The sequence below is a fragment of the Homo sapiens genome, chromosome 3, assembly GCF_000001405.40.
Source record: "Homo sapiens chromosome 3, GRCh38.p14 Primary Assembly".
Classification (NCBI taxonomy): Eukaryota; Metazoa; Chordata; class Mammalia; order Primates; family Hominidae; genus Homo; species Homo sapiens.
Genome location: NC_000003.12, coordinates 3,977,691 through 3,991,352, shown reverse-complemented (window position 1 = coordinate 3,991,352; position 13,662 = coordinate 3,977,691). Strand labels below are relative to the sequence as shown.

General features: G+C 38.2%; 1 pseudogene; it reads left to right on the top strand.

The window, feature by feature from the left end:
* Window positions 7,056-8,830, top strand: PNPT1P1 (polyribonucleotide nucleotidyltransferase 1 pseudogene 1; annotated as a pseudogene).
* The last annotated feature ends 4,832 nt before the right edge of the window (window positions 8,831-13,662 follow it).

Below are 13,662 nucleotides of genomic sequence, written 5' to 3'. Positions count from 1 at the left end.
GTTTAAGCCACCGGTTTGTGGTTTTTAAGGTAGCCTGCTATGGTCTGAATGTTTGTGTAAACCCCAGATTCATACATCGAATCCTAATCCTCAATGTGGTGGTATTGGAAGGTGGGGAAAGTAGTTAGGTTATGAAGGGCAGGTCCCTCAGAAATAGGATTACTGCCCTTGTAAAAGAGGCCCCAGAGAACTCTCTTGCCCCTTTTGCCATGTGAGGACACAGCAAGAAGTTGCCATCTGTGAACCAGAAAGTGGGCCTTCACCAAACAAGAGATATGCCAGGGCCTTGATGCTGGACTTCCCAGAATCCAGAGCTGTGAGAAATGTTTCTGTTGTTTATAAGCTACCTGGTTTATGGTATTTTGTGATAGCCAGCTGAATGGATTATGACATAGCCCAAGGAGGCTAATACACTATCTATCCTCTGTCAATCATCTTTTACCAGTGTGCAGCAATTTGTCAGGCAGATAGTAGCTTCTTTCCCATTAACTCAAAGGCATCCCAGAAATGATTGAGTTTTTGGAATTATTATTAATAACAATTCCAGGCACTAAAGTTCCTGTTATTATATGTGAAAAGATGTGGATGGCATAAAGGATTAGGTGACCTAGGTATTTTTCAGGATTGAGGCTTGAGTGACAGGCAGTTTAATAACACATCTGCTGACATCTGGTACTGCTAATGAGATATATTTTTTGAACCCTGGGATTGAGTATCTTGAGTAACTCATGAGGTCAAAGGAGAGCCAATGTCTTCAGGCAGTTTTATACATAGTAAGTTTAATAAGATTTTTATTTTTAGGAGCAGTGGCTGTGCTTTACTTTCTGATAATTTATGAGAATAACAAATTGAGACAATAAGGCTGAGAAGCTGAGAATTTGTGAAGCATTAATTTTAGTTTATTGTCTCATTGCATTTTTTGTCAGTAGACTCATTTCCTCTCATTTTTACACTTACCAGTGAGCTTAACACCTTTATAATGGATTACATGCCCAATGATAAAGGACTAGACAGTCATTTTCTCTCCCTTACAATTCTGTTTAATAAGACTAAATTATACCCAAAGAGTTGCCTTTTCAGACCACCTTTTATGAGCTCTAAGAATGTAACAAGAAAAGGATCTGACTTTATGAACCTATCTAGGTGGAGTTGTAAGTCAATGCCAAGTGGTTGTATGTGAAAATCTTTAGATTGCAGTTAGATTTTCGGTTGAGTGAAAATGTTTCCCTGGGGATTTCAATTCAAAGAATTATTATTCTACTTATACATTATCTATGTGTCTGTCTATTTCCCTTGAGAGTTCGTATGTGCATGTTATCTCTCTATCACCTTTAGCGCCTAGCTTTCCATAGAAAAGGTCATTCATTCATATTTATCAAACATATAATTATTTAGAAGCCTACCATTTTTAGACTTGTTTGGGAGATAGACATGTATGTAAACAAGTAATTCAAGTAACCTCTTGCAAGAGATGTAAAAGTTGTTATAGGAGCCCAAAGGAGGAGGTAATTAACTCTCCCAGGGAGGTTGGAGAAGAGGTAATATTGGAGATGTATCAGGAGGGACAGTGGGGAGTTGGCATAGAGGAAAAGGGCAAGGCCTTTCCTGACAGAGGGCATGGATATAGGCAAGGAGGACACAGTGATGCTCTTTAGAGGGGCTGGGGAACACAGAGATTACCTAAATGTGTACAGCTGTGAGGATGCTTTACCATGATAGGTCTGTGTAAAAGCAAAGGCTGTTTTGCTTTTGATGCGCAATATCTTTCATTCTGTATGCTGGCTCCTCCTCAAAGATGTTGTTCACATCCCTGCCTTTGTTTTCATGGTTCCTTCTGCCTAAATACCTCTTACTCATCCTTTGGGGCCTAGCTCTTCTGTGAAACTTTTTAACACTTTCTTAGCAGAATTTATTGCTCCCTCTTCTATGTTCCCATAGCACTGTGCTCACATTGCTATGCAAGTATCATATGGGTATTGTTCATGTTGACGTTTTCCTTACTGGACTGTGAGGTCTTCAAGTGCTGATACTATATATTGTTTTCTTTTTGTATTCTTATTAGCATAATGACTGGCAAACAATATGTATTTAAAACATGAAGAATCAGTACGGATGACCCCCTTAATGTTCCAGACAGAATTATTTTTAAAAGAGAAGTAGCTTGGCTCATTGGGAAGAGGCCTGTATGAGGATACTAGAAACTGAAATCTAACTTCACTTTGCTTCTTGGTGCTAACCAGCTGTATGGCAACAGGCTTGCCCCTTAACCTGCGGCTGCATCTTCGCTCATATGGATAGAGCAGTAGCTTATCAGCATAAACCCAGGAGATGGAGTGAAATGATCTTCTGTGATTCCTTCTGACTCTAACAGCTGGAATTTAAAATGTATCTGATGAATTGATTTTATATTTACTCATATTTTCTTCATTTTCCTTTGAAGTGTCAGGAGACTTTATTATTTATCTGCTTAACTGTTCTCATAAATAACACATGGAGGTTTTTTATTACTAGATATTAGTGAAGGAAACTAAAATCCTGAGTTTGTGCTCAGAATAGTCATAGAGTCAGAATGGATACTTGGAGCATCTTGAGAATATCTTGCTGTCTCTAGACAGTTCTCAAACTATTCTCCAACTGACTTTGTGCAAAAGTAATTGTATGTTGTTTTCTCTAAACTGGTATATTAACATACTATCTCCAAAAATTTTCTTTTTGAGTTGAATTTCTAATGAATTGATTAGCAGCAGATGGTCAGAATCTAGGAAAATAATAATAAATTATTTTGTCAGTATTCACAGTGAACATCCTTTGAGATACTGAAGGAAAAAGGAAATAACTCAGAAATTATTTTTCATCTGTTTGTTGTAATCAGGAAAACATGGCCAACTAAGTATATCAGGTAAAAACATGATTTTATAAACTATTATGTGATTCATCAATGAAGTATTAAAACAAAGCAAACATTTATAATATTGTTCCAATAAGCACATAAATAACTTCAGCTGTTCTGATAACTGAGAAGATTATGAATCTATTCTTGAAAATTATTAATTTTTATTAAGTGATATTGTGAACTGAGCCCTGTAGTAATTAACACAAACACAACCTGTGGCTCTTGGGCATTAAGGGGCTTTTCAGAGCTTTGTCTGAAAATGGTGGTCTGCAGTGAGAATAGCAGTTGAGAGCACGCAGAGGGCTGACTGGGTAGGATAGGGCTGCAGAAACAGCCCTCAGCTTCTGTGTGTTCGAAGGTAATGGCAGCTTAACCTGAGAAATGAATGGTGTCTTGTTATGAGAGAGACCTATTTTTTTCCTCTATGTCCCAGAAGAGAATAGCTACGTCACAGATATTAGTCTTCCTTGTCTTTAGGGGAGTATTTAGAGGCTTTGTTTTGATGTTGCAGTGTCCTGTAGGGAGGAAGAGGCTAGGCTCCTTTACCAGCTTGCCAGCTTGCTAACCTGTTTAGAAGGGAAGGTGGGGTATAGATACTAACCTCTCAAGACCCAGGCCAGAGTCTAGCTAGATTTAACACCTTCAGCTGGATACAATGACCACCTGGACCAGGTAATCTTTTCACATGCATAATTTAAAGTATTATTTCAATAGTTTTTTGATTATAAAAGTAAAACATTACTATTGCAGGAAACTTGAAAAGTATAAAATAGAAAGTTCAAACAAGAAAATTAGAAACACCCCAAATCCTACCACTCAGAAATACCCACTGTCAATATTCTACACACTTCAACATAATTGAGATCCTAGTTTGTATACAATTGTTTGTTGCCGAACATTACGTCATAACCACTTGTTAAACCTTTGAAAATACTTCTTAAGCATTATTTTTAATAGCAGGTTTACACAGAAGAAGATTCTTAGTTTATATAACATATCCTCTATTGTTGATATTTAGATTGTTTCAAAATTTTTCTGCTTCTATATTCTGTTCAAAGAATGACTTTCTTCATAAAGTTTCTTTACTCTTTAGATATTTTGGTAGGATGATTTTCTAGCAATAGATTTATGTCAAAAGATATGGATGTTTTTTAGACTCCCAGTATGTACTATCTTTATAGAACTATTATGTTGCTGTATCCTCTGTTTAATTTTTGTGTTTCCTCTTACGCTTTTCCGATAGGGTGCAAGATTTTCTGACACTGAGAATGACTATGTCCACCAACGCTAGGCCAACCACTCTAGTGCCAATCAACTGATTAATGACGGTCCTTTGACTTTGACTTAGACCCTGTGAGAGATTTTATAAGAAGTGAAACATATGGTTGTGTTGTAGAAGTTTATAATCCAGCAAAAGTAATGCATGTGGAAAAATTCACAAACAATTCAAGATAGAATCTCTGTAACCCTTCTTTGTAGGACACATGTGCAATAGGAATCTGAGGTCTCTACAATGTATATTCCCAATGATTATTGTGATCAATCCTGGGGCACCATCTATTCTAGGTTTCAGGGAGCAATTTCTTATTCTCTCTTTTCAATGAAGGTGTCTCGACATACCAACCGTTCATATCATGTTCATAGCGTGATCTTGAACACAAAACCACACAGCCTCTCATTCTGGAAGGGCAAGAAGCTGAGCCTCTGCTAGGAAGTGTTTCTCTGTCAGACTCTCCAGCTAGAGTCTAGCTGCTCTTTCCAGAGGCAGCTCCAGGCGAAGGACTTTCTTGTTGTTTGTAGCCACAAGTCCGACAACTACTTTCCATGGTGTCTCTCTTCAGGGGTGTTACTATTCAGCATTGCTCTTGCATATCCTCCCATCAGAGTAGTTCAATAGACTCTTTGGTGTCTGCTGAAGTCTGGCTTTCTGGGCTCCCTCTCAAAAACGGCATATTTAGCCTTACTCTTGGCATCACCTCTGCAGGGCGTCGGACAGCACTGCACCCATGGCTTTGCATAAGTTCTCAACCCTTCAGAGGAATGAAGGAAGCTGCAATTGCCCCCAATTCATAAGCCAAGGGTCTAGGCACTGCCTTCTTGTTGAATGCTGACCAACATTCAAATTTAAGTATTCTTGCCTATCTGATAAGCAAAAATGTTCCTGATGTTTTAACTTGGAAGAAATTATTTCAATATCATGATTTCCATAATTTCTATCATTTGGTGTTCTTATAAAAGCTATCTCTCATCTTATTCTGGAGATCTTTCCTTCACATAGGAACCTCTACATGACACAGAAAAGAAAAGATAGATGGGCGGCGAGAGTCTAGATTTATATTCTAGCTGTTATGCATGGTGAGGCCAGCTTAAGAAACACGTGGCTTTTGAAAGACTTTCCATTGTATAAGGAGCAGACCAGACTTTTAACCACAATCCAGAGACTTTTAACTTCACAAAGATATGGCATTTTATTTTAATAAAGCTATCGAGAGAGCTCCCTTTTCGAGTGACTTTTCAAACGCATCTTTTGTCAGCAGAGGGCTTTTATTAGCTAATGTAACCTTTCTGTACTCCATGTTAGCAGAGAGAGAAAGGAAATGTCCTTGGGTTCCAAATGTGGAAAGTTGTGCAGAGACTCTCAAGGAGAAAGAAGTTTTCCGCTTTCCAAAGCTGCATTTGTCACTCGCTGTTGTATCGTAACTGAAAGTAATGAACTTTCCGATGCTACTGTCCAGAAGGTAAAGGTTTACAAGATTATGCCTCTAAACTGGCAATTGCATAAAAAGAGATCACCAAGGATTAAAATGTAGAGACCAAGTAAAAGTGTGAATTTAGCTGTGAGTGATAACTTGTAGAGACTCAGCTATAAAATACCTGAAATGGGGGGAGTTAGGCAAGACCTAGGAGTGAGGAGTGAGAGTAACAGTCTTGGCTGTGGAACAGGGTAGCTAGATGTTTAGGGCTTAATCCGAGCCACTACTGATAATTAAACAGCATCGATAAACTGAAGGAGCATGGGGAAGGAGTATGGATTGTGGGCTCCGGGTGCAATTCATGTGGGGTGTCGGTGTTGTGGTTCCATTAATCAGTCGTTTGATGGAAGAGCTCAGTCAGTAGTGGAAGAGGCTGGTGGCAGGGGCTTTGACAGGTCTTAGGACACTGGGAAAATAGATTGAGATTCTAGAGCAGGGCTAGTGCAGTGTGGGATCTGAACGTGTTGTCAGGACTGAGCCCAGCCCTTTGATTACAGTCAACATAGTAGGAATGGAGAAAGTCACACCTAAATGGGAACCTGAACCAGGGCTTCATTTCAAAGCCCATGGAACAGATAGGGAAGGGTGACTAATGACTTTTCTACTGTTGCAGACTGGCTTACAAACTGAGTAAGGCACAAAAGGAAGAACTGGTGTTGATAGCAAAGTGTCATCAGAGAAGGCAGGAAGGACACCCTGTCATACTGCCCGTTGGCTCCCCAGATATCACTATTTTTTTTTCCTCATCCTTGTTAGGAACTGGCAGGTAGTTGTGCTTGATGTCTATTAGACTTCATTTCAATTTTGAGGTCCATAATTCAATGGGGATAGATATAAAAAGGCTTCCTTTTTCATTAAAAGGGTAATTACCTCGTTATCAGAGTGCTGGAAAGATGAGAGCTCATGGATTTTTCATAAAATTATAAGTTTATAAGGAGTCGGGTGAAGTCATCTTATTCTGTCCTCAAGCCAGGGACAAATCTAATTCACCCTTGATGGATGGGACATTGTTTAACAAGGATCTCTAGAGAATAAGCGTTGATAACTTTCAGTATTTTGCAACCTTCAGTTGTGTTATTTCTTCTATCCTGTTGAATATATTGACACAGAATGGAAGTCCATAATTTTTTTGTTCTCTTTGGGTAGAAAGAATAGTGTTATAAATGTACTTCATTTTCATTATGTTAAAGAATACTTATCAAATGCCTTGTATGTGCTTGGTGCCAGATACAGCTGTGACACAGGGAAGAAGACAGACTTGATCCCTGCTGTCATTTAGCTGTGAGACTCATGAGGGATAATAACCAATAATCACATCAGTAAATGACTACAAATTGTAATAAGTGCTGTGAAGGAAACACTAAGGCATTGCTACAGAGGATAACAGGAGGAAGCTAAGACCTCACTGAGCCTGTGGCTCCGGCCGCTGAGTGATGGTCCCTTCTGTCTGCCAGGGTGGGATCGGGCACTCATCCAGTTGCAGGTGCGAGCACTATTGAGTAGCACAGGGTCTCAAGCTGTGGCCATGGACTTGGGCAACAGGAAATTAGAAATATCCTCTGGAAAGCTGGCCAGATTTGCAAATGGCTCTGCTGTAATACAGTCAGGTGACACTGCGGTAATGGCCACAGCCGTCAGTAAAACAAAACCTTCCCCTTCCCAGTTTATGCCTTTGGTGGTTGACTACGGACAAAAGGCTGCTGCAGTAGGTAGAATTCCCACAAACCCTCTGAGAAGAGAGATTAGTACTTCTGATAAAGAAATTCTTACACGTTGAATAGTAGATTGTTCAGTTAGACCTATCTTTCCAGCTGGCTACTTCTGTGATATACAGGTTCTGTGTAATCTGTTAGCAGTAGATGGTATTAATGAACTTGATGTCCTAGCAATTAATGGCAACCTCTGTAGCCCTCTCATTATCAGATATTCTTTGGAATGGACCTGTTGGGACAGTATGAATAGGAATGACTGATGGAGAATGTGTTGTTAACCCAACAAGAAAAGAAATGTCTTCTAGTACTTTAAATGTAGTGGTTGCTGGAGCACCTAAAAGTCAGACTGTCATGTTGGAAGCCTCTGCAGAGAACATTTTACAGCAGGACTTTTGCCACGCTATCAAAGTGGGAGTGAAATATACCCAGCAAATAATTCAGGGCATCCAGCAGCTGGTAAAAGAAATTGGTGTTACCAAGAGGACACCTCAGAAGTTATTTACCCCTTCACAAGAGATTGTGAAACATGCTCATAAACTCACTATGGAGAGACTCTATGCAGTTTTTACAGATTATGAACATGATAAAATTTCCAGAGATGAAGCTGTTAACAAAATAAGATTAGATACAGAGGAACAACTAAAAGAAATATTTCCAGAGGTCGATCTATATGAGATAATAGAATCCTTCAATACTGTTGCAAAGAAAGTTTTTAGAAGTATTATTTTGAATGAATACAAAAGATGCGATGGTCGGGATTTGACTTTACTTCGGAATATAAGTTGTGAGGTAGATATGTTTAAAACCCTTCATGGATCAGAATTATTTCAAAGAGGACAAACACAGCTGCTTTGTGCTGTTACATTTGATTCATTAGAATCCAGTATTAAGTTGGATCGAGTTATAACAACTATAAATGGGATAAAAGATAAAAATTTCATGCTGCACTATGAGTTTCCTCCTTATGCAACTAATGAAATTGTCAAAGTCACCGGTATAAATAGAAGAGAACTTGGGCCTGATGCTCTTGCTGAGAAAGCTTTGTATCCTGTTATTCCCAAAGATTTTCCTTTTGCCATAAGAGTTACATCTGAAGTCCTAGAGTCAAATGGGTCATCTTCTATGGCATCTGCATGTGGTGGAAGTTTAGCATTAATGGATTCAGGGCTTCCAATTTAATCTGCTGTCACAGGTGTAGCAATGGGATTGGCCACCAAAACCGATCTTGAGAAGGGTGAAATAGAAGATTATCATTTGCTAACAGATATTCTGGGAATTGAAGCTTACAATGGTGACATGGACTTCAAAATAGCTGGCACTAATAAAGGAATAACTGCATTACAGGCAGATATTAAATTACCTGGAATAACAATGAAAATTGTAATGGAGGCTATTCAACAAGCTTCAGTGGCAAAAAGGAGATTTTACAGATCATGAACAAAGCTATTTCAAAACCTCAAGCATCTAGAAAAGAAAATGGACCTGTTGTAGAAACTGTTCAGGTTCCATTATCAAAATGAGAAAAATTTGTTGGACCAGGTGGATATAACTTAAAAAACTTCAGGCTGAAACAGTTGTAACTATTAGTCAGGTGGATGAAGAAACGTTTTCTATATTTGCACCAACACCCGGTGCTATGCATGAGGCAAGAGACTTCATTGCTGAAATCCGCAAGGATGATCAGGAGCAGCAATTAGAATTTGGAGCAGTGTGTACTGCCACAATAACTGAAAGCAGAGATACTGGTGTAATGGTAAAATTATATCCAAATATGATTTTGGTACTGCTTTATAACACACAACTTGATCAATGAAATATTAAACATCCTACTGCCCTAGGATTAGAAGTTGGCCAAGAAATTCAGGTGAAATACTTTGGATGTGACCCAGCTGATGGAAGAATGAGGCTTTCTCATAAAGTGCTTCAGTCTTCAGCTACAACTGTTGTCAGAACTTTGAATGACAGAAGTAGTATTGTACTGGGAGAACCTATTTCACAGTCATCATCTAATAATTCTCAGTGATCTTTTTAAAGAGAATTCTAGAATTCTATGTTTTCTAGGGTAATGTGCTATAGAGCAAAATTTTAGTAGTATCTTCCGTTGTGTAGCTGTGTATACAGTATAAATATATTCTAATTATTTGTATTAAAATGCTCATTTACATGTGCCAATTTTTAAATTCAAGAGTAACCCATATTCGCTTAATCTTATTTACATTATAAATCAAGAAATATTATTAAAAGTAAGTCATCCATACATCTTAGAAAAGATTACATACTTTTTTTTCTATAATTCTGAAATATATGAAAAACTTAGATATATGTCATATATGTTATTATAACAGATCTCTTCCTATATCTCATTTGTCTTCTTTATATACAGTAGTGACAATTTACCCTCAGTCATCCTATAGCTCACCTCTTTGCCCAACAACTTTACTTGCCTACGACTGTTCACAAACTGGAACAGGCCATATTCAAAGCCAGTGCCTATTTCTTCAGAATGGTTACTAGACATAGTAAGTTGAGGGAGCTAATCTGATACACTTTTAATAATACGATGCCTTCCAAGTTGGTTACAAAATCATGAACATAGTGGAATAAATATAAATGAGATTCTAACTAGGATGAGGTAGTAATTATGTATATTTTTCAAATTTACCTAAACATAGGAAAATTATTTACTTGTCTAATTGAACTAGGTCACTTTTTGAATATGTATATTGCTCTAATGTATGGAAGTTCTTAGTATAAGAGCTGGAGGAATCATCACTTTCAGTTAATAGATGTTTGAAATAGATGTTTAGAGGTTACTGATATACATGTCAACTTGTTCATTCCCATCATTTAAAATATCACCTTATAATTCCACACAAAAGTAAATGGTATGTGGACGTCATAATTTAGAATATGTTATCTTTTTAAAAATCTTATAAAAATACACCGGACTCAGTGGCACATGCCTGTAGTCCCAGCTACTTGGGAGGCTGAGGTCGGAAGATCACTTGAACCCAGAAGTTCAACACTGTAGTGTGCAATGATCATGCCTGTGAATAGCTACTTCACTCCAGCCTGGACAACATAGCAGGACTCTATCTCTAAAAACAGTTTTAAATCTCATAAAAAATAAGTAAATCTGGCCGGGCATGCTGACTTGTGCCTGTAATCCCAACACTTTGGGAGGGTGAGGCGGGTGGATCACCTGAGGTCAGGAGTTCGAGACCAGCCTGGCCAACATGGCAAAACCCTGTCTCTACTAAAAATACAAAAATTAGCTGGGTGTGGTGGCAGGTGCCTGTAATCCCAGCTACTTGAGAGGCTGAGGCAGGAGAATCTCTTGAACCTGGGAGTTGGAGGTTGCAGTGAGCTGAGATCACGTCACTGCTCTCCAGCATGGGCAAAGAGAGTGAAACTATCTCAAAAAAAAAAAAAAAAAAAGTAGGTAAATTTATGACTCAGGGCTAACTAGTTCATAAAATATTAAAAGTTTAGCTGGTTAAACCAAAGATTTTAAAGATATGTATATTTATATCAAACATTGATCATGTATCTATTGTGTGTAAAACAGCATGTTAGGCAATGTTGATATACTTTCTGAAATATTAAAGATTAATTGAAATTGAAAGATTAAATTAAAAAAAATATGTCATTGAGATGAGTGATCAGGAAAGGCCTCTTTTTTAGAAGTGACATATAACATGAGCCCGGAATTATAAAAGGAACCAGCCTTTCACAATGAAAAGAGCACTCCTGACAGTGGGAGCAGCATGTACAAAGGTCCTGCACTAGAAAAAGCGTGGTATGTTTTGAGAATTTAGAGAGTTCAGTATACCAGGAGCAGAGGGGTCAAGGAAGAAGGTGGCACGCCATGAGATTAGAGAAGTAAGCGGACAAATAATGCCTGATCTTATAGGCAATGGTGAGGGGTTTGGATTTTATTGTAAACGGAATGTCTTTAAAAGATCACTCTGGCTACTGTGTGGCAAATGAACTGGAAGTGGAAAAATCAGAACAGAGAGAGAGGTTAGGAGGCAGTCCAGGAACAAGATGTTGGTGGCTTGGACTAAGGTGGGGTCAGAGAAAGTGGATAGATGTTTTCGAGATACACTTAGGAGGTCTTACTGATGGTTGGCTGTAGGGAAAGAGTAAAGAAAAGATACCAATTCAAGGCTGACACTGGTAAGATGATAGTTCCATCTAGTAGATAGAGAACAAGCAGGGAGGAACAAGTCTGTAGTGGGAAGGATGGGGGGTAGATGTTTACATTTGCACATGTTAAGTTTGAGCGGCCTGGGAGACCCAGAAATAGAACTGTTGATTCTAAGTCTGGAGTTCAGAGATGTCAGAACTGGAGAAATACGTTTGGATGACTAAGTCTGTCAATGAGAATAAAAGCTTGGGAAAAGAATGAGATAAGGAAGAGGAGGAGAGAGAAAGAAAGAGGCCCAGTTGTGAACTTTGAGAAACTCTTAACATCCCCCCACAGCCTTGAGAACAATTGGCAGAGTAGAGAGAGCACCAGACTCAAAAGGGTGTGGGTTCTAATCCCGTTTTAGTTTTAGACACTGACCTTGAGCAAGTAACTGCTTCTTCCTGAACTCAGGATCTACACTTTAAGGTAAAAATTATTCTCTAATTCTCTTCCATCACCAATATTCTGTAATTCTCTTGGTATTAGGCTCATTTTCCAATTACTTTGAACATATTCGTAACTCTCTTTACCTACCTTAAACTGTCATATCCAGAATACCCTTTTCTAATCATGATTTGAATTTTAGGTGCATTAAGTTAACATTCCTCTAAATCTTTCTCTTCTGCCAAATTGTGATTTTTTTTGTGGGGGTGGAGGGGCAGTTGTGCTTGTGCTTGTTGGCTTGTGCATTCCAATCCAATTTGGGCACAATGAGGCATCTGTGGCCCAATGGAGATTGGTATTGGTAGGCTTCCTTGTTCATTAAAAATGAACTTCTTTATTTTTGCCATTTCTGTTGAGCTCAATTTCCCAGTCTCTTTTAAATCAGCTTTAGAGATTTGAGGATTGCCAGTGGGGTGTGTTATTTGACCTCACTTAATATTTGTGTTTGGTTCAGATCATAAAGCAAACCAAATTGACTGCCTCTGCTCAGTACCCAATAGGACTTATAACCAGGCAAAATGTGGGTTGAAAGATGTATTCCCAATTGCAATGCAGTGGAAGTGTTTGTATTAAACAAAGTTTCAGAGAACTGCTTAAGGATCTCAGGGTGGTATGTGTTCTAGATATTTTTTTCTTAACAAATTAACACTGTCAAATTATTCAGGTTGAAATAATTTTTTAACAAAGTGCCTTTGCTGTCCTGTCACAGTGCTTTATTGCTAATTTTTCTCATGAGATGATTCTCCCTGTTGCTTTTGCCTTTGTCTCACAATGTACCATCTGAAACTGCTAAGAAAGTTGGAAAAATTAAAAAAAAAAAGACTTCATGCTAAAAAAAACCCCACACATTTCAGTGGTTAGTGAAAAATGATAGCTAAGATAGCAATTAGATGTCCTTTCCTTTTGACCTAATAAAGACTCTGAAACTGGCATTGGGTCATCTCAGCAAACAGAATTATTATAGTGATGACTTTCCTCCTATTATGGGTAAGGGCTTGTTAGTAATTTATCTTTACTACGTGTCCCCGTTTTCAGGATTCAAGCCTCTAGTCATGACTGATATGGTTATTAGAGACAAAAGAGGTTAGAGTAACTGAAAGCAATAATTCCTTGTTGCATCTTGGATTATTTGGCCAAATTAACAATGGTGTTAAATGCGTGATGCACTTAATGAATGTAGTGAGGTGTGAGCCAGTACCATGATTGTGCCCAGGTAAAATATAACATTATCAACCTGCTTTTGCATTTTTTTTTTCCTTCACGGTCCTAGATGGAAACCCTTTCAAATTCTCCAAAATAGATTCAGCTGGGGGAAACTTCAATGTCTGCTTTTATATGAGATAAATATTCCCAAATTGTTACTTTGACTATATTATTTACCTTTCCCCTTTTCTATCTTTTGAGAGTTGAATTGTGCCCCTTCCCAAAAAGAATATATCCAGTCCTAATCCCCAGTACCTGTGAATGTACCCCTATTTGGAGAAAAGGTATGTGCGGATATAATTCAGTGAAGGATCTCTAGATAAAATCATCGTGAGTTTACTGGGTGAACCCTAAATCCAATGACAAGTATCCTTATAAGAGGAGGAGAAGACATAAACAAACAGAGGATAGGATAAGGCCATGTGAAAAGAAGGCAGAAATTGGAGTGATTTGTCTGCAAGTGAA